Raw genomic sequence first — 27838 nt, forward strand, 5'->3', positions numbered from 1 at the left:
CAGTCTTTGCCGCCGCGCCGGCGAGCGCCCCTCGGGAGGCAGCGGCTGGAGGAGCGGACGGGCCCCGCGGGGCCCGAGGGCAAGGAGCAGCCGCCTGCCTTGGCCTCCCAAAGTGCCGAGATTGCAGCCTCTGCCCGGCCGCCACCCCGTCTGGGAAGTGAGGAGTGTCTGTGCCTGGCCGCCCATCGTCTGGGATGTGAGGAGCCCCTCTGCCTGGCTGCCCAGTCTGGAAAGTGAGGAGCGTCTCCGCCCGGCCGCCATCCCATCTAGGAAGTGAGGAGCGCCTCTTCCCAGCCGCCATCACATCTAGGAAGTGAGGAGCGTCTCTGCCTGGCCGCCCATCGTCTGAGATGTGGGGAGCGCCTCTGCCCCGCCGCCCCATCTGGGATGTGAGGAGCGCCTCTGCCCGGCCGAGACCCCGTCTGGGAGGTGAGGAGCATCTCTGCCCGGCCGCCCCGTCTGAGAAGTGAGGAGACCCTCTGCCTGGCAACCACTCCGTCTGAGAAGTGAGGAGCCCCTCCGCCCGGCAGCTGCCCCGTCTGAGAAGTGAGGAGCCTCTCCACCCGGCAGCCACCCCATCTGGGAAGTGAGGAGCGTCTCCGCCCGGCAGCCACCCCGTCCGGGAGGGAGGTGGGGGGGGGTCAGCCCCCCGCCCGGCCAGCCGCCCCATCCGGGAGGGAGGTGGGGGGGTCAGCCCCCCGCCTGGCCAGCCGCCCCGTCCGGGAGGGAGGTGGAGGGGTCAGCCCCCCGCCTGGCCAGCCGCGCCGTCCGGGAGGGAGGTGGGGGGGTCAGCCCCCCGCCTGGCCAGCCGTGCCGTCCGGGAGGGAGGTGGGGGAGTCAGCCCCCCGCCCGGCCAGCCGCCCCGTCCGGGAGGTGAGGGGCGCCTCTGCCCGGCCGCCCCTACTGGGAAGTGAGGAGCCCCTCAGCCCGGCCAGCCACCCCGTCCAGGAGGGAGATGGGGGGGTCAGCCCTCCCACCCGGCCAGCCGCCCCGTCTGGGAGGGAGGTGGGGGGGTTAGCCCCCCGCCTGGCCAGCCGCCCCGTCCGGGAGGGAGGTGGGGGGGTCAGCCCTCCGCCCGGCCAGCCGCCCCGTCTGGGAGGTGAGGGGCGCCTCTGCCCGGCCGCCCCTACTGGGAAGTGAGGAGCCCCTCTGCCCGGCCAGCCGCCCCGTCCGGGAGGGAGGTGGGGGGGTCAACCCCCCCGCCCGGCCAGCCGCCCCGTCCGGGAGGTGAGGGGCGCCTCTGCCCGGCCACCCCTACTGGGAAGTGAGGAGCCCCTCTGCCCGGCCAGCCGCCCTGTCCGGGAGGGAGGTGGGGGTGTCAGTCCCCCGCCCGGCCAGCCGCCCCGTCTGGGAGGGAGGTGGGGGGGGTCAGCCCCCCTGCCCGGCCAGCCGCCCCGTCTGGGAGGTGAGGGGCGCCTCTGCCCAGCCGCCCCTACTGGGAAGTGAGGAGCCCCTCTGCCCGGCCAGCCGCCCCGTCCGGGAGGGAGGTGGGGGTGTCAGTCCCCCGCCCGGCCAGCCGCCCCGTCCGGGAGGGAGGTGGGGGGGGTCAGCCCCCCTGCCCGGCCAGCCGCCCCGTCTGGGAGGTGAGGGGCACCTCTGCCCAGCCGCCCCTACTGGGAAGTGAGGAGCCCCTCTGCCCGGCCAGCCGCCCCGTCTGGGAGGGAGGTTGGGGGGTCAGCCCCCCGCCCGGCCAGCCGCCCCGTCCGGGAGGTGAGGGGCGCCTCTGCCCGGCCCCCCCTACTGGGAAGTGAGGAGCCCCTCTGCCCGGCCACCACCCCGTCTGGGAGGTGAGCCCAACCGCTCATTGAGAACGGGCCAGGATGACAATGGCGGCTTTGTGGAATAGAAAGGCGGGAAAGGTGGGGAAAAGATTGAGAAATCGGATGGTTGCCGTGTCTGTGTAGAAAGAAGTAGACATGGGAGACTTTTCATTTTGTTCTGCACTAAGAAAAATTCCTCTGCCTTGGGATCCTGTTGATCTGTGACCTTACCCCCAACCCTGTGCTCTCTGAAACATGTGCTGTGTCCACTCAGGGTTAAATGGATTAAGGGCGGTGCAAGATGTGCTTTGTTAAACAGATGCTTGAAGGCAGCATGCTCGTTAAGAGTCATCACCAATCCCTAATCTCAAGTAATCAGGGACACAAACACTGCGGAAGGCCGCAGGGTCCTCTGCCTAGGAAAACCAGAGACCTTTGTTCACTTGTTTATCTGCTGACCTTCCCTCCACTATTGTCCCATGACCCTGCCAAATCCCCCTCTGTGAGAAACACCCAAGAATTATCAATAAAAAAATAAATTAAAAAAAAAAAAAAAAAGAAAATGAAAGCTGCAATAGAAACTCATAAATGAAAAAATTATCTCCTGACCATTTTTGAGAGAATGAGAGACATATTCTGCTCAGTGTAAAAGTGGTTATTAAAGTTATTTTGAAAAATTTCATTTAAAAAAAAAAAAAATGTCATAGAAGGAGGAACTGGTTATTCTCAACTGCAGCGACAAGTTCTGTGCTAATGAGTAACTTTCTTCAAAATGGGGTGATTTCTTAGTATAGCAGACTACACAGACATAATCAGATGTGACCTATCCCTTCAGCCATAGTTCATCCTTGTTAAGAATATGTTTATTCAACCTTGAGGAGGTTGGGATGATGCCTAAGAGAAGAACCAACTTAGGCTTCTAGACGGACCTATCGGGAGACCTGTTCCAAGTACCAATAATGTCTCTTCTTCAAAGATGTGGGCATTGGTGACCCACTATTAGAGATTTTATACAAGTTTTGGGGCTATCAGGGACCTTAGAGATCGTCTAGTCTGGATTCAAACATTAATCCAGGTATCCCATCCTCAAAGATTGCCAGGGAGCTGCATAAGCTTCCCAGGTGATGTCAATGCGCAGCTGGATTTGGAAGTGAATGCCTAAGTAAAAAGGATAATTTAGGCAATCACTTCAAGGTTCATCCTTGGAAAGTGGATTGTTTCTACTTTTTGGCTGTTATGAATAATGCTGCTATAAACATTTGTATATAAAAAAAAAAAAAAAAAAAAAGAAATTAGATCTCTCCGGTATCTAAATATGTACATATGTACATTTTTTTTTTTTTTTTTTTTTTTTTTTTTTTGAGATAGAGTCTCGCTCTGTCACTCAGGCTGGAATGCAGTTGTATGATCTCCGCTAACTGCAACCTCCACCTCCCGGGTTCAGGGATTCTCCTGCCTCACCCTCCCGAGTAGCTGGGACTACAGGCGCCTGCCACCACGCCTGGCTAATTTCTTTTTTTTTTTTTAGTAGAGATGGGATTTCACCATATTGGCCAGGCTGGTCTTGAACTCCTGACGTTGTGATGTGCCCGCCTCGGCCTCCCAAAGTGCCTGGATTACAGGCGTAAGCTATTGCACCCAGCCATGTGCAGGTCTTTTTAGGCAAAACAATGCCAGGCACTCAAAGAATGTTGGTCATTAAAAGGGTATTTCACTTTTAGAAAAATATATAACTACACACTTTATTCACTATAATCACTATTCACTTTATTTTAAATTGTGACATATTAAAAAAAGATTATCTATTAATTGCATACTTCCATTAATGTAATCCTTAATAAGATGCAAATTTTTAAATAATCCTTTATGTTTGAGGAAGAAAATGGTTAAAAATCAAAAAAGGTTAACATTAGTTTTTTGAAACAGGTTAAAATCATCACTAGTAATTAGCTGATGAAAATTCATTGTTCTCTGGTTCACTAGTTTTATTTAAGTGTGTTGTCAAAATGCAGATGTTAACAGGAATCACCTACTGAAAAACATGCTAAAATTCAAGGTCAATAAAACTGAGTTAATTTTAAAAAATCATTTTACCTACTAACATCTAGGATTTCTACCTCATTTCTCAACTGTAATAATACTAGAAGTACCATAAAATACTATAATTAAATACAAAATTGACTATAAAGTTGAACCCCAACAATGAGAGGGAATGTCTTAACAAGTCATTACCAAAAAGTGACTGTTTAAATATAGAAAATATGATTTTATAAGTGTAGGAATGAGTTTTTTTCCTACCATCTTTTCAATATTCATTGAGCAGTTATTACATGGCAGGCATTGGGATAGATGCAGGTAGCTACAAAAATCAGTACAACTCTGATTTGATTATGCCCACAATCTGGGGGTACAGAAATGGAAAAATGTGTGTCATGGAGGGCAGGAGAAATGCAGAATACAATACACTGAATGGATACAGAAAACAGGAACAAGATACTTCAGGAGGAAGCTTTGACTCCCACAACAGAAGTATTGGGTAATTAATGAACTATATTCCAAATCAACATATTTGCCAATGGAAAAGAAAGTTCATAAAAACTTGAAAAAATTTGTCCCATTTTATTTATTTATTGAGACAATTATTAATGCATTTATTTATTGAGACGGAGTCTTGCTCTGTAGCCCAGGATGGAGTGCAGTGGTGCAATCTCAGCTCACTGCAACCTCTGCTCCCGGGTTCAAGTGATTCTCATGTCTCAGCCTCCTGAGTAGCTGGGATTATAGACATGTGCCACCATGGCCGGCTAATTTTTGTATTTTTAGTAGAGACAGGGTTTTGCCATGTTGGCCAGGCTGGTCTCAAACTCCTGACCTCAGGTGATCCGCCTGCCTAGGCCTCCCAAAGTGCTGGGATTACAAGCATGACCCACCGCACCCGGCTGAGAAAATCTGTTTCAAAAAGTAGATAACAATTAAAATATTAATATGTTGCTTTAGCCGTTTTACTTCTAACAATTTATCAGAAATACAAAAGTTCATAAGGATATATAGATGATATTCACTGGATGAAAAAAATCCCCAAAAAACTATGAATAACTTAATAGCCATCAAGATGGGACTTGGTAATACATTATCATTCATTTTATGGAATGCAGTCATAAAAATGAATGAAATAGTTTCATTTGTATTAACATAAAAATCTAAGACCTATTAGGTAAAAATGTAAGTCACAGAATACATATATGATGGGTCCATTTATTTAAAGAACAAATTAGGAGACATGTAAACATATCAGAAGGGGAACAGAGAAGAGTCACACTTAAATTCTGACTCTGTAGCCCAGGCTGGAGTGCAATGGTGCAATCTCAGCTCACTGCAACCTCTGCTCCCGGGTTCAAGTGATTCTCATGCCTCAGCCTCCTGAGTAGCTGGGATTACAGACATGTGCCACCATACCCAGCTAATTTTTGTATTTTTAGTAGAGACAGGGTTTTGCCATGTTGGCCAGGCTGGTCTCAAATTCCCGACCTCAGGAGTACCTGAGATACCAGCTACTTTTTGTTTCAAAAAGTAGATAACAATTAAAATATTAATATGTTGCTTTAGCAGTTTTACTTCTAACAATTTATCAGAAATATGAAAGTTCATAAGGACATATAGCTGGTACTAGGAAACAATACACTTTTACAATGTTTAAACTGCATGAAAAAACACTATTTCTGAATCAAGTGTAAAAAAGGTTTTTTTTTCTTTTCTTTTAGTGGGTAAAGTCTAGTTATTCTGACTGCTTATCATTATTACTGTTGATTCTGGTAGTGAAAAAAAACTTTTGAATTCCATTGAGATAGTAATGAACACAGAATTGTAACAATAGACAGATGGAAGTAATATAAAAACACTGTTGAATTTGAATATTTCTTGCTTTTTTGCTTTCACAGAAACACATTATTTTACATTTACTTTATATAAGTGAGGTATTTTATGGTGTTTTCTAAATTCTATTAAGAACATTCTAAAAAGAAAAGGTGACTGTGACAGACAGATTAAAATCCAATCCACAGGCAGTCCCCTTTGGCAAACCACTCTGATTAAGTGGCTCTATTTTATTTCAAGAATATATATCTCTTGCCCCTTTAGGAAATATGTGAATGTTTTCCAAAAGCAAGTAAAGAGTGCCACATCTTAAGCACTAGAAAGCCTATGAGCTTTATCTGGGATCTTTGCTTTCATAGGCTTGTGAAGAAAATCTGAACATGCAGACAGGCAGTCACTGTCACATATTGAAGTTTAACAGTGACTAGAGGAACTATAAAAGCCCAAAACTCTATATTCATTCTGCAGTCATACAAAGAGCAGAGGGTGAATAATTTAACTTCCAAAACAATTAGTCCAGTCCTTTACTTCAAATTCTTCAATAATCCTCCTTTTCCTATAGCAGTCATCAGACATGTACATAATACCTCTGCCTTTTTTTTTTTTACCACAACAGTGCACACTATCTGTTTGCTATTTGCTGAATATTTTATTTTTATTTTATTTTATTTTTGAGTCATAGTCTCACTCTGTTGCCCAGGCTGGGGTGCAGTGGCGTGACCTCGCTCACTGGAGCTTCTACCTCCCAGGTTCAAGCAATCCTCACGCTCAGCCCCCTGAGTAGCTGGGACTACAGGTGTGTGCCACCATGCCCAGCTAATTTGTGTATTTTTAGTAGAGATGTGGTTTTGCCATGTTGGCCAGGCTGATCTTGAACTCCTGGCCTCAAGTGATCCACCTGCATGGCCTCCAAAAGTGATGGGATTACAGGCATGAGACACTGCACTCGGCCATGCTGAATATTTTAAAGCTTAAATACATTATTTGAAAAGAGAACAGTATCACTATCAATACGAAAAATAACATATTAATTCCTATAAATTGAAGATAATAAAATACAAAAAAACAGTATTTTTTTTAAAATTAACTAATTAATTTAGAGACAGGGTCTTGCTCTGTTGCCCAGGCTGAAGTGCAGTGGCATAATCATAGCTTACTGCAGCCTTGAACTCCTGGGCTCAAGCAATCCTCTCGCCTTATCTTCCCCAGTAGCTAGGACAACAGACACGTGCCACCACACCTGGCTAACTTTTAAATATTTTTTTGAGATGAGGTTTTGCTATGATTCCCAGGCTGATCTCGAACACCTGGGCTGAAGCGATCCTGTCACCTCAGCCTCCTGAGTGGCTGAAATTACAGGCTCAAGCTACCAAACCTGGGAAAATGTACAATAGTTTTATTAAATTGTAACTAGATACAGGCTGCCAGTGGCTCTGAGCCAAAGCAAAGTGTTTAAGCCATATTGGCACCAAGAGACTTTCTTGAGATTTTCTGGAATTGAAAAAGAACTAAAGAGGGAATACACTTTCTCAATTTTCCCCAATACTGTATTGTGAAAATTTTCAAGTATACAGAGAAGTTGAAAAAAATTGAACAGTGAACACCTATATGCCCATCATCTAGATACTATCATCTGGCATTTGCTGTATTTCCTTTTTCAGACATCATCTTTCTATCCATTCCTCTATGGAGAAATCAAGGCTATTTAATTTAATATTGTTATTTAACTACCTAGAGGGAGTTCTCTCAAGAATCACCAGGTCCCAATCCACAATTTTGGAAAGACTATTGTAAAAGATAACAACATCATTTCCCAGGCCTTGGCCCATCCCAGAAGGCTTGCTACTGTATCTGGCCCATGGCTATCTTTCTTCCTTATCTCTAGTCCCTAACACATAAGTGCAAAACTAAACTAACTCTGCTTGCCATAAAATGCCATTCACAACCTGGCCCTAATTCACTTCTTTGGCCTCATGGTATGTCCATCAGGTAGCGTTTATTGAGCGCTTACTCTGTGCTAGGCCTTGTCCTAGGAATTTCACTTGCTTATCTCATAAAACCCTTAAAACAGTTCTATGAGGAAGGTCTTCCTTCCTATTATTCCCAATTTATAGGTGACCAAGTGATAGCAGTGTCTTATAACTGAACAACTCAACACACTGTCCAATTTTTGCAGTGGCCTCCACTCAGCCCATGTACATTTCTTCTAACACCTTTCACAATTCTAAATCTGTAGTTTTGGCTGCTTGAATACATTTCCTACACTTCCTTCATCCAAACTTTACTCATCTGTTTAGACCTAACTCAAATGCCACCTCCTCCATGAGACATGCTCAAGTATTTTAAGAATTAAATAAATGAATCGATATTTGCAAGGTCAAAATGTACATTTGATAAACTAACTGAAATATTAGGTCTTCGTTTTCGTAAGTAAGTCTTAAGACAACCAAAATGAGACTATTTCTCACGTACAGTTGTCAGAAAAGAGTGACAAAACAAAAATCAACCAGATGTTAAATAATCCTCAAGGGAGGTACACCACCATGTTTAGGCTAGGTACAGGCAAATTCACATTTTGTTGTCCTAGCAGTTATCTCTTTTCTGGTGTCTTGAGTTCTTCAGCTCAATCATCAATGGAAGGATATTCTACCACAATGACTATTTTCATAGATACAAATTTTCATCCCCTTTCTTATACTTTTTACTTCTGGTGGGGGTGGGGCGGCAATTATAGTTGGAGTTAATTTTAAAAGATGGTAAATATCTCAGAATGTCTGTAATATAATTACTTTTGAAATAAGGGATCACTGATTTATACAGCCTTAAAGTTTGAATGGACTTTAAAGATAATATAATCTATGATGTAGTGGTACAAGGGAAGAGGGGGGCTGGGGAAGAACCTGATGTGTAGTGTTTGCCAATTTCCATAGCCCAACCCCGTCAATGAAAGCATGAGTATTCTGAGGACCAGGATAACTGAAAGAGTTGTTGAAGGTAACAGAAAAATGTGTGAGCATCTGCATTAGAAGCCAGGTTAACTGACTCCATGTAATCTATTCATTGTCAACTCCCTAGAATCATCTAGGAATTGTGGAAAGATACTTTGCCAAGCCTCACACCAGAGTAATAAAAAAATAACTTCTGGTGATTAACTCCTCTCCAGAAATACAAATACAAATAAAAAACAAAAACTCTCTATGTGCTTCTAAAATATCTAAGTTCCAGAACTCCCATAATTCTTTTCCCCAATTTTATGTTGCCTAGTAAGAAAATCTCATCCCTTTATATTAACTTGGGGAATGAATAAAACATACATTAATAAAAAGCATAAGTTATCATAATATTTTTAAAGGTTGTAAGTTTCAAGTATTTTCCATGTGTGGCCATGAATTATGCCTATTGAAATATTTTCTAAAAATTTGGGCCTGCTTTTACAAAGACGAGACTGGTTTGTAATTAGTGCATTGATTTTATGTGAATGAGTGCTTTTGAGGTGCTTAATGAGCCAGTAATGATTAATACTTTTAACAGACTAAGAATACTTTTACTTCTATTAGTTTCTTTATTAAACCCTTTCTAATATGTAGAAAACAGGTAAGTTTCAGTTAGTAGCTCAAGTTACCACAAATTCCTTGTCAAATTTACTAAACAATCCACATCCAGTTTAGCTCTTCCTCCCTTCCCACTCTTCCTCCTTTCCGCCCTTCCCTCTCAAATATTTATTGAGCATCTAGCAAGTAGATTACTAAATCCAACCCAAGACACTCCCCTGCATCAGAGATAACATCTAATAAATTCCTCTAATTGTCATTCTGTGACTGAAATTGTATTCAGGACCGCATTTCTAAATTATAGTTCAATTAGTAGCTTTGTTTACAAGTCATGAATACCATTTTAATTTTGCAGATCTTGGTAACACATATAAGAATCTTCTAGCCATTGCACTGCCTTTTGAAACTGCATAATCTCGCACGTTTTAAAGGAGCCTCTGGTATTATTTTCTTTTCAATGTAATCATAGATGAAGGTCTAAAGTAGACCTTCCCATTCTCTTTCTGAACTCCTTTAAGTTCTTTAATTATAACCCTGAAATGCATCTCTTTTGCGTGCCCAACATCTTCAGCATATTTCTCTTCTTTACCCTGCAGCTGATTAGCAAGGACTACAACACTGAATATCAAATATTATGATTTTTGAGTTATATGAGCATTTTCCTTTTCACAGGAATAATATGAAGAAAATTACCTCAGTACATTCAGACTTCTTTTTTTTTTATGAGTATTTTCTTTTAATTCTTATTGATAGTCTAAAACAAAACACCATTAACTGGATAGTTTATAAACAACAGAAATTTATTTCTCACAGTTCTGGAGTCTGAAAGATCACAATCCAGGCACCAACAGATTTGATGTCTGGTGAGGGCCTGTTTCCTGGATTACAGGTGGTGCCACCTTCTTGCTGTGTCCTCACATGGCAGAAGGAATGAAGGAGCTCCCTTGGGCCTATTTCATAAGGACACTAATCACATTCATGAGAGCCCACCCTCATGAGCTAATCAACTGCTAAAGGCCCCACTTCCTAATATCATCACCTTGAGGGTTAGGATTTCAACTTACGAATGGTGGGGAGAGGGGCACAAACATTCAGAACACAACAAAATTATTTAGCATGAATATATATATGTATTGCCTTACTGGTTACCAGGCTACAAATCAGGAAGTAAGAAAACAATCTTCCAATGCAGTTATTTTCAAGTAGTGGGAAACTCTTGATATTCCTTAATAGAGGGGCCACATCAAGCCTTTGGCTCCCAAGAAGGCAATGCCTCTTGAAAACTACTGTGTTCACTGGTCACATGTGTATCAGTTACAAATGTGACCATCCAGTTGAAACATAATTCTAGCTGTGTATGCCAGAAATATATCTAGATATAACCAGAATGCCACGATGTACTTGGGCAAACCCCCAAGGTTGTCGTTGTCGTGCATTTTGTGTGTGTGTATGTGTGTGCAAATGGCTTAAATATTCCATTACTGCCTATTGTTCTTACATAAAACTTTTCAAGAAAATTAGAAGTTAATAGGCTGACTGATGACAGCCTTATATCAATATAAATTGCTTAAAATATTCTTAGGCCTAAGTGGATGTAAATTTTTATGTTCATTCCCAATGTTGGATAAGAAGTTGACAGAGCTGCACAAAAATTGCAAAAGAAACATTCTAAATCATGAGCTCTTTAAGTACAGGGACGAGGGACGACATCTTACCCATTTATATATCTCCAGGATTTGGAACAGTAGCTGGTATATAGAGTAATTGTTGAATAAATAATATGAAAAATTGGTTTGAGATCCAGGAACAGAGTAAAGGATAGGGTTGTGGTCGCACTGGTGGTTACAAGGCAATACTTTTTTACCTTTCAAACTAAGAAAAACATCAAATATATAAAAAAAAAATAGAAGGTGAAATAATTATACAGCCTACCCATGTATCCTCTACCTACCTTTAGTAGTATTTAACGATTTGCCATATTTGCTTTCTCCCTCTCTTCCTCTCTATATCTATCTCTATAGAGATATATGTAGCTATACATATATAGATAGATGGATAGTTGTTGAAGCATTTCATACTGAGTGGCCTACATCATGACACTTCACTCCCAAATGCATCTCCTAAAAATAGGAACATTGTCCTAATCACACTACAACATGTAAGAAAATGGGCCGGGCGTGGTGGCTCATGCCTGTAATCCCAACACTTTGGGAGGCCAAGGCGGGTGGATCACAAGGTCAGGAGATCGAGACCATCCTGGCTAACAAAGTGAAACCCCATCTCTACTAAAAATACAAAAAATTAGCCGGGCATGGTAGTGGGCACCTATAGTCGCAGCTACTTGAGAGACTGAGGCAGGAGAATGGCGTGAACCTGGGAGGTGGAGCTTGTAGTGAGCAGAGATGGCGCCACTGCACTCCAGCCTGGGCGACAGAGTGAGACTCCGTCTCAAAAAAAAAAAAAAAAAAAAGAAAATGAACAATTCCCCTATTGTCATCTAATATGCAGCCTGCAGTGAAATATTCCCAGTTATCCCAAGAATGTTTTATAGACACACATACCCAAAGCAGTATCCATTCAAAGTTCACACATTGCATGTAGTTCTTAGGGTCTATTTCACATATTCAGTGTTTTAGATTTACTTATTTCAAGTTTTCTATTTCTATATATATTTTAGTCCATTTGTCCCTGAATTGTAGCAAGTATTTTCAAATCCATAACTTGAAACTGAGCTTTGTGGATTAAGGCAAAAAGGACATTGTAGATGCCTCTGGCCCATCCTCCTCACACTTTGAGTAAGTGAGGGTCTTCTGGTCCATCCTCCTGCACATCAGGCGTTATTTCACTCTTGACATACACTTGTGATGTGGGGCATAAATCACCATAAGCATCTTTCATGTTTGCCTAACCAACTCAGTTTAAATCCCATGACTAAAAAGGGAGCCTACTTTCCAGAATCAGACTGGAGGAAAAGAGGAGATTTTAAATTTCTTCCTGCTCCTAAAAATGGAATGCTTGAAAGTGATATATACTGGCAATGTAAAATAGTTTTGATGGGGAGAGAATGCAGAAATTAACTTTCTAACTTAAACAATTTCAATTTTGTAATTCTCAATGTTAGCACAAACACTATAATCAAAATTCACTGTACTGTGCTCTAGGTACTGGGTGGAGGAAAAAAAAAACACTGATGGGACAAAGATCTTCTTAGGGAATATGGCAGAGAAAGTGAAAAAGCATGAGGAATAAAGATTTTCAAATATGGGTATCTGAAAGGGTAGGCCTTTCCATTTTGTTCTACTACCCAGTGTTTCAATCCCGGCAAGAACACCACAATATTCCAGGTCTTTACCTCCATCACCCTGCCCTAAGGATATGTGGGGTAAGGGGCACTGTTGTGCCCAAGGCTCTTCAAATTTAACGTATTATTACCACTGTTATTATATTTAATTCTACCACTGGAAGTAGTAAGACCTCAATCAGGGGTGATTCACTCCCATGATATTGATCAGTATAAGGCAGAGACTATTGGGATACCAAGTGTTAATTCTTCTTTCATTAGTGGCAGTATCTCAACAGAATGTCAATTTTATAATATTTTTCAGCATCCCTTTCAACCTGGAATCATGTGATTGCTGTCTGGGTAGTGAGGTGGGACTTCCGGGATTCAGCCTGGCCTTCCTCCTCCCTTGATACATGAATATCTTAAATTATACTGCATAGGACTCTCTTCCTTTATTACCAATCAAATAAAAAATTAATTGGGTCAAAAATATATGGCCCATTATATGCAAGGGCTATAACATAGGCAGGTCTTAGGGAATATCAGCAAAGCGAAAGGAAAAAATAGGTCCCTCTATGGAGAAAATCAATGCTCCTCAAATGTAACTGAAAAACATGTTTGTCTATTCAATCCCGGTATAAGCCCTCATTGGAAGATTTACTGGAACACACTGAATTGAATATAGATAGTAAAGGAAGATGTAGCTGATAATAGGAACAGAGTTGCCCTGTGATCCATGGTATGTGAGGGCATAGGGAAAAACACATTCAACTCAAACAAGGGTATGGTAATTTCAGGCTTCATTAGAAACACAGCGAGGTGAAATCAATTGTAAGCCAGACAGGAAAGAATCAAAATCAGTTAGAAAAGAAATTTTAATTTCAAGCTTCTAAGGAGAAACTATAAATAATGCAAGGTTTAAAACATATTAGCAAAAATACATCACGGTATCTCTCTCAAGCAAAACAGCTAAACTTGAAACTTTCTTGAGGATATTCAGCTCTGAATATTTAAAAGCAAATGCACATATTTGCCAGAGAGAAAAACATGTTTAGGGGGAAAATATTAAAATGAAGTCTGGGATGATACACACCAAAATATGAATGTGGACATAAACAACTCCAGGTTATTTTCCTTTTCTTCTTTATACCTTTATGTAGTTTTTGAAAATTTTAAATTATGAATGCATAATTTTTGTAATTAGACAGATAAAGAGCTTTAGCAAAAAGAAAAACATTCAAGTCATCATATAATAACATTGTATGAACATTAGACATGGAAGGCTCATCACAAGCAAACCCCAAATATCCTCCATAAGACAATCTAATGACTTGCTCTTAATGAAAGAATGGTCCTTCCTCTCTCCAATCTCCATTTTTGGGTGCTGCTAATGGTTAAGACCTGTGCCTCTGAGTTTGTAGACTCTAGTATGGTTCTCCAGATCTTCAGCATTAAATGTATCCGGAAACAGGTAAGCAATCAGTTCAAAAGAAAAGAACAGATTTTCAATTTCCTTCTCCTAAAAATGTCATGCTCTAAAGTGATACATGGAAATGTAAAACAATTTTGGTGGGAAACATGTGCAGAAATTAACTTTATAACTTGAATAATATCAATTTTATGATTCTCAATGTTACAATTATTAGAAGTACAGAATCTCTGTCCCTAACTCAGACCTGCTTGAATTGGGGAATTGGGGAACTTATTGGGGAATTACTGATTAAAGGAATTTATTCTACCCTCCTACTTACAGAAGATGCCCGAGGAAAACTGTGGATAGTGGTGTTATTTAAACTAAGAGATACAGAAATAAAATTATTTCATTTTTTAAAACTATATAAATTGTTTTCCATCTATATCTACTTATAACAACAAAAGAACAAAAGCAGCTTTTTTTTTTTTTTTTTTTTTTTTTTAGCTGTTTTTACTCCTAAAACAGCTACCACTACTATTACTACTATACTGCAAGAGAGCAATAACATTTATGGGACCTTTACCATGCATGAGACACAGTGGTACATGCTTGGGATAGTCCATTACAATGGTGTTCTATAATGAACCTTGTCAACGTTTATAAATGCCCTTGCATAGTCCCTTCCCTTTGGATCCTGGCTGAGTCTGTGACTTGCTTTAGTCCTGAAAATGTGGCAGCAGAGATGCTGAACCAGTTTCAGGCCAATGCCTTGAGAAGGCTTGGGAGTCTCTGCCTTTGCCCTCTCAGATGCTTAAGGGCCACATAGGGAGGCTGGTTACTTTGCTGAAGGGGCCCTTTGGAGATATCACATGGAGACAGAGGGGCCTTCAACAACTGGGGATGAGGGAAGAGGCCCGCCTTCCCAGAACCTGCCAGCTGAATGCAGTCACACGAATGAACACTGACAAGAACAGTGGAAGAATGGCCTACCTAACCCCAGGCCAGATTGCTAAATCATAAGAAAATGGTTCTATCAAGTTTTGGGGTGGTTTGCTATGCAGAAATAATAACCAAAACAGTGCTTTATAGACATTTGACTCATTTTAATCTCACAACAACCCTAAGAAATAGGCACTAATAATATCATCCTTCTACAGAAGCATTTATCCAATTTGAATAACGCCTCCTATAATAAGTCGAGGGGGTAGGGCTTTACTGCATGAGAACAATTCTGTATATTATCAAACACACAGCAGTTCCATTTCTCATCTGAGGGTGGGGCATTTCCTATTACTGACTGTGTCTCATCATCTCTAAAGTAAAGAGAGTCAATAACTCACTGAACGTCTAAGATTCTTTTCAGCTCTGAAATTCCATGACTCTAAATGAGTAGCCGGTGCTTATTGTTTATACAGTGGTTTTCAACACATCACATCACACACACTAGCAAAGGTCGGAGGGGAAAAAAGCACCTTGAGAACATCCCATCCCAACTGCCCAGGCCATCTGAGTAACAGGAACCACCCCACCAGTCAGGAAGAGACGGCTGAATGCATATTAAAACACTCCAAGTATGCTGCCCTTCTGGAATATCGTTAAACAACTCAGTCTGTCATATGGTCCTTTGAGTTTTTCAATTAAAAAAGAAATGGCAAATGTAAATATTACCATCTCTTTTTCAGTCTGCTAATTTGTGTTCAGGAAAGTCTTCCAACAAGAAAAACACATGGTTAATCACCTTTGAGACCCAATATAACAAAGTAGCCTGGAAAGAGAAAAGGGGCTTTTTTATGATTTAAATTGTTATGTGGTCAATCAAATCTAATCTATTCTAATTCATTCACATGGAAGGTCAATTATCCAAATGCTCTTAATTCAACCTGCCTCTGATCTTGGTGACCAGTGAACCATTCAAAGGGCAGCTGTTTTGTGTGTGTGTGTTTTAATATGAATTCGTTATCACAGTTTTACGTTTTCCTCATTCTCAACTATTTAAGCTAACGTGGCCTGCTTGACGAAGCACATTTAAGTAGAGGGAAACACACTTAGTTCTCTTTGTATTCTGAAATAACAACATTCTCTATGACCTTTCTGGAGTCAATGTACACAGAAAACCCACAAGATTCATGCTATCACCAACTGTTGGAAGGAAAACACCAGGCAGGCAGCAAATCTACTTCCCAGGCCAATTACCCCATTCCCTAAAACTATTCCATCTTCAAAACAAGCCTAAAATGCATGTCAAGAAAAACATCCATGTGTCTTTCTTTACTCTTTTTATGAAGGCTTTTGCTTGGTGATTTGCTCAAGGGTCAAGTTTAAATTTGGGTCAGTTTGTTTATTTGTGATATAATGAAAAAGAAATTTACCAGGGAAGAACAGAACTATTGGAAGTACTCCATGGTAAATGAGAGAAAGTATGCCAAAGCTCTTCGCACCAAGACTAAATAAATTAGTTGAGAATTGTATTTGGATGCTAGGAACAAAGAAATAAATATAAGGACTTAAACATACAAGGATTTATTCTCTTACATAAAGGAACACTGGTGGTAGATAGGCCTGGGATGGTAGGATGCTACCAGGAGTCCATCAGGAACTCAGATGCCTTTGGTTTGTCTCCTCTACCATGCAATGGTACCGTTCTAAGGTTATTTCTCAGTCTAAGAGGGCTGCTGGAGCCCCTGCCATTGTAAAGTCATTCCAAGCAACAGTGAGGAGCAGGGAAAAGGGCTCCCTTCCCAGCTGCTTCAGCTTCTTAAACACAGCCTTGCCAGAGGTCCCACATTACACTTTTGTTTACATATCACTGGCCAGAAAGCAGTGACGTGATTCCACCCAGCTGAAAGGGAGGTGGAACAATATCATAGAATTGACATTTTGTTGAGATTCTACTATTAAGGAAGAAAAAAAAATTGATATTGGATATCTCAGTAGGCCCTGCCTTATACCAATTAATTTCTTGGTAGTAAATCACTACTGATTGAAGTCTTATTATTTCCAGTAGTAGAAGTGTAGCTAAGAATAATAACAGTGGTAATAACACCTTAAATCTGAAAAACTTCTATGTAAAAGTTACAATCTGGTTCACACAATAATCACATGATAGTACAATAAAAGTGACAATAATAATGATAGCAGAAATTAACAGCAGTATCTGTCATTTATTAAACACCAAATTCTGTGCTGAGTGCTATAATACCTTATTCTCATCAATCTTCACATCAACTTTGTGAGGTTTTCATTAACTCCATTTTATGAAGACATGGACTTCAGAGATGGGAAGTGACTTTTCTAAGGTCATACACTTCAGGAGGGAAACAGAACTGCAATTCCATCAAAGCCCTCTTGATCACACTGGTGTTAATCATTCCCCTGATGAGGTCATTAATATCACATTTTACAGCTGAGGAAACTGAGGTCCAAATTATCGGAGTGCTTTAATTCACTGTAATATTGAATCAATGGTAGGACTTTTATTATAAAAATCCTAACAGGGCCAGAAAAGGACTTAGGAAATCTAGCTTCTCATCCTCGCTCTATACTTTAATACTGATTTTGATCTGATAGTAAAAACAATACAGGCCCACTGGGAAGGAAAAATTAAAACTATACAGTAAAGAAGAGAGTAAAAAATCATTCCCAACACTACCAGTTGGAGAAAATATAGGCAATGCAAACATTCTAGTGAGCATTCTCTGGGGTTTATCTGATAAGATATAAAGAAGGGGAGGGGAAGTGGAGAGACAGAGGTTCCATAATTTGTCTAACGTCTCTGCACTACAGAGCCAGCACTCAGGTTCACTGCCCAAGTGCCCAGTGTACTCTCTGACCCAAGACATTCATGAGTCGTACCTTTCCTGCTGAAAGACATTCCAATTACATGCAGGATTTAAAACTCTATGACAAGGGACTGCTCTTTCTTTTTATGAGTTTTTAAGAAAATGCCTTTTAAAATTTCTCTTCCAAGCTCTGAGATAAAGAAAACTGAAATACGACCATTAACAATTTACCCACAGCATGCATGAGTTTAACGCTCCAAACGATACTCAGGGTTCTCAACATTAACAGTGCATTGAAGCCAACTCATTTCTCATTTTCTGTTGCCAACTCCATAAATCTGCTTGAAGTCTTGAAAGTATAGATTATATATTTAAGTGATTCTTGTATTCTGGCAAGTAAAAACATAAAATGTAATTCGAATTCCATATAACGGTATTGGAAGAAGCACAAAGATGGCATTCTGAGGGGGAAGGGGTTTGTGCATTTAATATTTTCGGAATCATATATTATGTATCAGGTACTGGGAAAACAGAGATCAATCAGAAAAGGAGGACCTTCCATCTAGTACTAGTACTAGTACTAGAATTTTCATCTAGTATCTAGGGGTCCCCAACCTGGAAACTAGTGTCATTTTAGGCTGGAAAATGCCTTGTTATGGTGAGCTGTTTGTGTGCTGTTGAACAGCATCCCTGACCTCTTCCTGCCAGATGCTAGTAGCATACCCACTCCAAAATGACAATAATAAATGTCTCTAGACATTGCCAAATGTCCCCTGGGAGGTAGCATGGCCCCCAGCTGAGAACAGCTGATCTGGTCCATCCCGCCCCAGTTCACAGAACCTGGGAAGATTTCCAAGGAGAAAGGGATAACAGGCAGGCAAAGTGAGGAGGGAGAGGAAGAACATTCTGGGAGAAGGGTCTCTGGAACAGATGGTAGAGATCATGCCAGCAAGGGGAGGTAAGGTCATGCGGGGCCGGATGATACAAGCTTCTGAATCTCTGACTCAGAAATTCAGAATTTAGTTTGCAGGAAATGGGGATTGTGGTATTATTTTACATATATATATGTATGTTTTTGTCCACAGTTCCTAGCTCATAACTCCCACAGCTCCTGTTACAGCCTTTTGTTATAATGTTGGGGCACTTTAGGTCTCAGAAGCAAACCTCAAAAAACAATCTCTCTCTCTCTCTCTCTGAAATTCTCCTGCCTTCCTTTCACCTGCTCCTTTTTCTTCCCACAGCAGGCTTTAGAAACTAAAAATATACTCTAATCTCCCCCCACTTTTCTGATTATGGGTCATTAGACCCTCATTTCCGAAGGGGTCCTGTGTCATACCTCAGAAGAAGGAATGCTGCACAGAGAGGCCAAGAAGCATCTGTATAGACAGGCCTTTCTGGGTGTTCCCACTCAGTCTACTAGCATTAGATCATACCCTTTTTGTCTAGTCACATTTCAAAATGGCTGTCAATCATGCCCATCCAATGGACTCTCCATAAAAGGTCCAAGAGGATGGCGTTCAGGAGCTTCTGGACGGCTGAATGCATGGAGGTTTCTGTAGGGCGGCATGCCCAGGAACGGGCTAGAGGCTCTGAGCCCCTTCCCATACCACACCCTATTCATTTCTTTATCTGTATCTTCTGTAACATCCTTTATAATAAACCAGTAAGCATAAGTTAGTATTTACCTGAGTTTTGTGTGCCACCCCAGCAAATGAATTGAACCCAAGGAAGAGGTCATGGGAAACCCAATTTATAGCCGGTTGGTGAGAAACACAGGTAAAACAACCTGGAGCTTGCAATCAGCATCGGAAGTGAGGCGTGGTTTTGTGGGACTGAGCCCTCAACCTGTGGGATCTGAGATTATCTCCAGGTGGAGTGTCAGAACTGAATTTAGATAGAGGATGCCCAGCTAGTGTCTGCTGCAGAATTGATTGCTTGCTTACTGGTGGGGAAAACCCCCCACACATTTGATCACAGAAGTCTTCTGTGTTGACTATTGTGGTGTGAAAATAGAGAAAATACAGTTTGTGTTCTTCCATTCAGGGATCAAGTTTGTGGGCAGAAACTGCAGTAAAATGCACAAAAAGCAAGTCCTATGAGTTGAGTGTGACCGTGTGCTGCTGCCATTTGATTGCTTTAATTAAAGAAAAATAGGGGATGAAGTAATTACAGGCCCTCTCTGAGACTGTCTTCTTAACAAGGTGGCTGAATGTCATTGAAAATTTTCTGGATTTTAAAACAGAAATACACTGACACAGAGAAAATATTCTGCACATTGCCTGACACACAGAGTACCCTCACCAATGTTAATTCCTTATTATTACCATTCTTGTTGCTGGCTGTCTTAAAGCAGGGTGGGGCACTGATGGCTGATGTCAGCATTTCTCAGTATGGCCCAAGGAACCCTGGTGCCTTGGAAGTGTTAATAATATCTGTACATACATACAGATGTGCAGACACAGAGAATCATTTTCTTTCAGAAATTTATCTTTTAAAAAGGAAACTATGACAAAGGATGTAGAATAACAGAAACATTTATCTTTATATATTTTGTTATAAATGCTTACCTAATTTATACTTTCTTAATAAATAAGGAGAAGAGTATCTAAATAAAATGTTTTCTTGAATTAATTTGTTTATGGGGCCATGCTTTTCCTGTTCTCTCTCAAGAGTTCCTGTTGGTACCCCACTTATATTTAATTTAGATACTGTTAGCCTGGAAAATATTGCCCTAATCCAGTTGACTGGGGTTGTATGGAAAAGGCCCTGGCTTTGGTAACCAGAGATTATGCCAGGGCCGGGGGCCGTCTTGAAATAAAGAGAAAGAAAGTGTCATCCTGTGAAAAGGTCAAGGAGGAAGCCATCTCAACAGCTGTTTGCAAACCTCACTTCAAGGCAACCAACTGACAGAGGGAGAAATAATCTCAAGGAGGTATGAAAACAGCAGCAGGGCTAGGGAAACACATCTGTGAATGCCCAGATAATTGAGCATCATTGTTTAGGAGTTGGAGGGCCATCTCTTTCTGTGCATTTGAAGCAATTTTCTCTTGTGACATACTATGTTTTGTGTTCCCGAACATTTAACCTCTGGATTTGGACAGCAGAGACCTGGCCCAAGCCCATTCCTTTTAGGAGTCCTCAAATGGTTACTGAAAGTGACGGTTTTCTAATTATTCTGTCAAGCATCAATCTCAGAAGTTCCCAGTTCCTCCATGCTCTGACTGACAGGGCAATCAGCACTTTACTTAAAGTATAAGCACCAACCTCTTCTGGACAGCAAGAGCACCTCACATGCCCAAAAACAGAAAAATTCACAGCTCTAAGAAAGTAAGAAGCCCTCATGGGTGTGCAATTTTACAAGCGTGTGTATGCATCCTTCCTGGGAATAGCGCTTTTTGATCTGGCATTTCTTTCAAATGGGACATCCCCAATTCCAAATTTCAACCATCATGGCTATGATTTTACATACTCACTGTGCTGCTGAAAACTCAATCAAAATGCACAGCAAAAAGCCAGTCTCAAAGATCTCCCTCAATCAAGGCAGACCAGAGTGGTCAGAAAAGAAGCAGATGTCTACACTCCTTCAACTCCAAGTCAAAACTTATAATTCCACTTTCTTACATGCTACTCTTCTGAGAGAAAAATGTGGGCAAAAGGAAGCATAGGAACTGTCACAACGAGAAAATATTCTTATTAATCACATTTAGGCAAATTCCATTTATTTGTTTTTCTCTAAAAGTGACCTCCATATATTAACAGATGCCCTACTTTACTTTGTCTTTTAGAAATCAGTTGCTTGTAATCTCTGAGACAATATATAGAAGTAGAAATGAGATTGGTGGATCAGTCTTCAACTGGTTTGAAGGTGATGGTAAAAGTCTATGAAAGCTGCCAGCATGGTGCTAAAACTCAAAGAGGGCATGGCATAGTGACATGGGTTATATGATGAGTGAGAGCTGCCAGGACGAATCGGAAGAGGGGCTTGACAATCGATTGCCTGAAATACATTACAGGGCAAAAGAAAGCAGGGCACCTGTGGTTATGTCCCTGATATAAGAAGATAGCCACTGTATCTTCAAGATCCCAGAGGCATGGAGAAAAAGTAGGTAATTCAAATGGAGGCAATTTGGAGACACCTAGACTAATACCATTAGTCTCCAACTAGTCTCTGTTTTCTCTTCCTTTTCCACAATGCGTACTCCTATCTTTGTCTAAGATTTCATTGTTCTGGTGCTTAAAGCCTTTCAGAGGCTTACAATTTTATCCAGAATGAATTCAAACTTCCTGATTTGGCCTGCAAGTCCTTTCAGAGCTGGGCCCAGCTTCACTCTCAGCGCCTCCTCAGTCCTTCTCGCTCACTCTGCTCTGAAACACTCAGAGCTCTCTCCTGCCTTTGCTTTTCCGCTGCTCTTTTCACTTTGCCCCAAATCAACAAGGTTCACTCATTTACATCATTCGGGTCTCCACTCAAATGTCACCTCCTCAGAGAATCCCTCTCTGGCCACCCCATCTACAGCAATTGCTGTCTCACTGCTAAGGTCCTGAGAATGCACCTCACACTCTGAACTGCAGGCAGCATGACTGGCTGCACTGGGGGCAAGGCTATGCTTCCCCTGGGCTGCTCCCAGCCGAGTAGGGGCATCCAATCTTCCTTCCCTCTCTCCTTCACTCAGAGTCAGACCTGCATCATAGTCTGATGGCCAGGCCAGCCTCTCCTGGCTGCTTTCTCATTTTCTTTCAAAGGGATTTCTGCTGATAAAATCCTTGCACATTTAATCTTGTCTTGATGGCATCTGGGACCCTAGCATATTTATTATCATCCTGTTTTACTATCTTCTTAGTACCACAGAAAATTATCTAGTGTGGCACCCAGCAATCAGCATTTTCCATGCCCTTCAGGCAGTTCTGGGACATGCTCAAGTTTGAGAAACAATGACCTATTATTATATGGTTAATTATAGTCAGAGCAAGAATCAGGACCCAGCTGTAAGAATTCCCATTCATTTCTCACCAAGCAGTACTCTTTTAATGACACACACAGCCCTTACGTTGTATCTGCTTAAATACCCTGCTTTAAAAAATTGGCCAGGCATGGTGGCTCACTCCTGTAATCTCAGCACTTTGGGAGGCTGAGGCAGGTGGATCACCTGAGGTCAGGAGTTCGAGACCAGCCTGGCCAACATGGTGAAACTCCGTCTCTATCGAAAATACAAAAGTTAGCCAGGCATGGTGGCATATGCCTGTAATCCCTGCTACTCAGGAGGCTGAGGCAAGATAATTGCTTGAACCTGGGAGGTAGAGGTTGCAGTGAGCTGAGATAGTGCCATTGCACTCCAGCCTAGGTGAGAGTGAGACTTTGTCTCAAAAAAAAGAATTTATGCTGGTCATATTTTTACATCCATTTAAAAAGATGGATTTAATAAAATGGGCATTAACATACTAGGTAAACTGAAGGAATTTGTAGAACACTGGTTTGATCAAGGCTGACTGCCTCCATCTATCTAACTGGCTTTGTAGCTTTTTAGGCAGTAAAAATAAACTTAGTGTATCCCCTGTCTTGTGAGGGAAGCTTAATCTGATGTTGTGCTATTACTAACATGGAAAAGCAGTCATGCTATCAAGATGGCATCCGGCAAGATGAGATGACACTGAAGTTTGTCGCTATCGATTTTTATATGGCAAAACCTGGGTCTTGTTCTCCCTTTTCTCCCTTTCGATCAAGTACTCTCATCTCCAGGAGGAAATGCTACTGTTTTGGTAGACAGTGGCTGCCCAGCCACAGTGCAAGCAAGTGTGATAACGACAAAATGGATTGATTACTATCAGGAAACGTATGGACAGTAAGGTATGAAATATTACCAGCTGAACAACCAAGATACAAAGATATAACATGCTTTACTGCTTACAAAGGGAGGCAGCCATTAGGAAGTTTGCTTTCTCACATAAATCCTTGACTATCTTTCCCTGGAGGGGAAAAGTATATTACATCTAGTCCAATAGAACATTTAGATACAAGTCAGGATTCTGACAAGTAGGAATATTTAATTTGTTTTGAATTAAGAATTGAGAATCGGAACTTCCACTATGATATGAATACAGAAACCAAGACCTTCCTTACTAATTAATGACCTCTGGCCTATAAAGTCTTCAGGAGAATTTCTAAATGTTCTCTACAACTTTGTGTTTTCTCTTACCTCTTGAGATTGATAATATAAACACACCTAGATACACAATAACTATCCTCCGAAATCTTTTACTATACTAGCTACAATCTCTCATACATCAAAACAGCAGCTCTAGTATATTTTTCTCACCTGAAATATTGAGGAATAGGAAGTTATTCAGTTTCTCACAATTTTCTTAAGCTCAAAGGGTTTGGTCAAAGCACACGTCATACCTGCTTAATCTCTAGAGAGAACAACTTTGACAGGTGAAGCGAGAAAAAAGCTGCTCCACTGCCTTCACGTGGAAAAAAGATGAAATGTAAAGGCCTGCAATGACAGACTTTTCAAATAGGGTTTTAGTAAAAGAATGATGTCTTTGGAAACTTAAACTGCAATTTTACCTTGAACAAGTATAGGATAGGATATCCTTTAAAGAGATTATTTGAAAACTATAAAATATTTATTCATTCAACAAATATCTAATAAATGACTACCAGATCAGTATAACACCATAACCAAGAGTTAATGGAAATGAATAATAATTAAATATGTAATATGGTAGGAGACGTATATGTTTTATCCTGTCATTTAATACTCATAGCAACCCTGCTGAGTTGTTTCTATTAATATACCCATTTCACAGGCAGGAAAAAAAAAATGAGACTTAGAGGAGTTAACTCACTTGGGAAAGTCACAGATGTAAGAGGAAACAGAGCGGGAATTCCAATCAAGGCTTACTCATGTTTTTAACTACATGGTCTAACACCAAACTAAGCACCCTGAATAATATAATGCATGCTGTCGAGAAATGCTATTGTGAAAATGAATAGGAGAGAAAAGAGCCATAATACAGATGCCCAAATGAGTGCTACAAGAGGGGCAAAAGTGTGAAATAAAAGCAGGCCGGGTGGTGTCAAATTCTGTATGATGTGTGGGTTGAGGAGGTAGAGCAGGGAGTCTGGCCTCTGAGGAGGCAAAAAAATCGAACTCACTCAAACTTGTTTTCTGAGCGAATCTTCAATTTGTCTAAGACTTTTCCCTGGAGTTAGGAATTTGCCAAAAAATTATCAGCACCTATTAGGTGCCAATATAGTATAGACATGGACCCTGTCTTCATGAAGGGCACAGTCTAGCAGAAAAAGTAGGGCAGCTTTCAAAGATGGTCCTGTAATATTTTCTGCTTCACACTCTTCTGCAGTGCAACTTTGCCATTCTCACATTAAGAGATGGGGTCTGTTTCTCTAATCCATCCAGCTCCTTGAACCTGGGCAGGACCTGTAACTGCTCTAACAGAAGATGGCAGAAATGGCACACTGTCAGTCCTGGCCTGGAAGTTTCCATTTCCTGCCTCTTGGGAGCCATTCACTATATATGATCACTCTGAGACCACCATGCTATGAAAAGGCCAAACTACACAGAGAGATCAGATGGAATGTGAAGAGAAAGAAAAAGAGATGGGCCAAGGAGCAATGAGATGCCAGGCATATGAGGAAGCCATCTTGTGTGTCCAGCCCAATTGAGTCATCACACGGCTCGGGCTCCATCCACCAATGACTGCAGCTGCATAGCAGACTCCAAGCAGGGGCCACTCAGATTAGTCATGTGAACCCACTGAAGCATGAGAGGTAGTGATAAACTGCTGTTTTTAAGCCACTAAGCTTCGGGGTGGTTTATTAAGGAAGCAATGGATAACGGAAACAGAGCTGAATACAAAATTACCTGTATGACTACATAATCAAACAAGAAAGAGTATAATTTGAGAAATCCTAACGAGGAACATGCCCCTGCCTTCAATCAGGTGTAAGGAGTGCGTACAAGGCTCTCTGCATAATTACATTCAGCTAAGACCTGAAGAGTAAGCTGAAGAAAGAAAAACATGAGAAGGGAAAGTCTGGAGCAGAAAGAACAGCTCAGTCGAAGTCTTGAAGATGGAGATGCCCTCATACATTCTAGGAAGGGAGAAAAGATTAGTAACCAAATTAAAGCAGATGTATAAAATGGGCATGAGGTAGGCTGGCGAGTTGGGCATGGGCTAGCTCATACAGAGTTATAAGCTGTGGTAAGCATTTTGAGCTGTATCCCAAAAGCAGCGGGAGCTAAACAAAGGGATGGAAGAAAGATTTGTGGCCACTGTGACTGTCATGAGAGATTCAGGAGAAATCAGTGGGGAACCTAACTGGACATAAGTTCTTAAAGATCAAGGAGAGGATACCCTGAAGGGAAACTCAACCTTTACCCTAGGCCTCACATGACTAGGAAGTTCTTAGCTATACTTTATTTTAAAATAATTTTTTTTGGCTGGGTGCGGTGGCTCACGCCTGTAATTATAGCACTTTGGGAGGCTGAGGCAGGTGGATCACGAGGTCAGGAGTTCGAGACCAGCCTGGCCAACATGGTGAAACCCCGTCTCTACTAAAAAATACAAAAATTAGCTGGGTGTGGTGGCATGTGCCTGTAGTCCCAGGTACTCGGGAGGCTGAGGTGGGAAAATCACTTGAACCCAGGAGGCGGAGGTTGCAGTGAGACGAGACTGTACCACTGCACTCCAGCCTGGGTGACAGAATGAGACTCCGTCTCAAACTAATAATAATAATTTTTTAAAAAAGATTATGGCCCGGGCACGGTGGCTCACGCCTATAATCCCAGCACTTTGGGAGGCTGAGGCAGCCCTATCACCTGAGGTCAGGAGTTCGAGACCAGCCTGACCAACATGGTGAAACCCCATCTCTACTAAAGATACATAATTAGCTGGGTGTGGTGGTGCATGCCTGTAATCCCAGCTACTCAGGAGGCTGAGGCAGGGGAATCACTTGAACCCAGGAGGTGGAGGTTGCAAAGTGCCAAGATCACGCCATTGCACTCCAGCATGGGCAACAAGAGTGAAACTCCATATCAAAAAAAAAAAAAAAAAAATGTTGTCCAAGGAATTAACTTTCTCAATTCAAACTTTACATCTCATACAATGAGTTTAATTGTATGGTCTATACATAAATCTGATCTAATTCAGGGAATAGAATGTAACTAACTTTAATAAACTAAAAAAAATGTAAAAAAGAATGACACAGTTCAAATGAGAAACTTAAATCAACTTTTCACATTTCATGTGGTATTCTCAGGCCCAAGTTAGCCAAAAATGTGCACATAATGAGCTTCTTATACTTCAGCCTCTGCTTTATTCCTCTGCTTATTTCTCTCGTATACTTCAGACTGCTGAGTCTGTAACTGCATTTTCTTATTTACATGCTTTTCTCTACAATGATGCAATGGTTTGAATGTCTCCTCCCAAACTCATGTTTAAATTTAATTGCCATTGTAACAGTGTTAAGAGGCAGAACCTTTAAAAAGTGATTAGGTCATGAGGGCATAGCCATCCTCAAATGGATGAATGTCTTTATTGCAAAAGTTGGTTAGCTGGAGTGGGCTCCTGATAAAAAGATAAGTTCAGCCCCCATTTTCTCTCTGTCTCATACACTCTCTTGCCTTTTCACTTTCTGCCATGGGATAATGTAACAAGTAGGCCCTAACCAGATGGTTGAGCAGGTGCTAGCATCATGCTCCTGGACCTCCCAGCCTCTAGAACTGTAAGCCACATAAGTCTCTTTTCTTTATAAACTACACAGTCTGTGCTATTTTGTTATAGCCGCAGAAAATGAGTTAAGATAAATGCCTCAGAGTTCTCAGTTGCCACCACTTAGATAGAAAGATACCCACTGCCATCCTTTCTATCCTTGCCCTACAAACCAAACAGGTGAAATGGGGGAGCTGCTGCTTTTTAAGCACAGCTGTTACAGACCTGAAATACCCCGTTCTTCTGTTATGCCTGTTAACTGGGAGGGTGATGGGTTACGCAAAAAGGGACACTAGAGCAAGAACCCACAGGAGCACTGCAAAGAGAAAAACTTGGAGAAGATAGAAAATATTGCTAACACTGTTGGGATCAGAGTGGTGTTCATTTCAATTTTGTTTCCTTTTGTGTATCCTCTAGATAAGAAAGAGTTATTGGAGAAATGATTA

General features: G+C 41.5%; 1 protein-coding gene across 6 annotated transcripts in view, besides 1 other annotated feature; it reads right to left on the minus strand.

Annotated features, from left to right (window-relative positions):
* The window catches only part of SUCLG2 (succinate-CoA ligase GDP-forming subunit beta), a 294153-nt gene that overhangs the window by 82868 nt on the left and 183447 nt on the right, over positions 1-27838 (minus strand). The window lies entirely within an intron of this gene.
* Positions 430-1135: an enhancer, noted in NCBI's record as "H3K27ac hESC enhancer chr3:67494181-67494886 (GRCh37/hg19 assembly coordinates)". NCBI's record gives its function as "activates a minimal SCP1, AML or CMV promoter by ChIP-STARR-seq in naive H9 embryonic stem cells {active_cell/tissue: H9 hESC(naive)}" and the evidence as "EXISTENCE:reporter gene assay evidence [ECO:0000049][PMID:30033119]".

The sequence above is a fragment of the Homo sapiens genome, chromosome 3, assembly GCF_000001405.40.
Source record: "Homo sapiens chromosome 3, GRCh38.p14 Primary Assembly".
Lineage (NCBI taxonomy): Eukaryota > Metazoa > Chordata > Mammalia > Primates > Hominidae > Homo > Homo sapiens.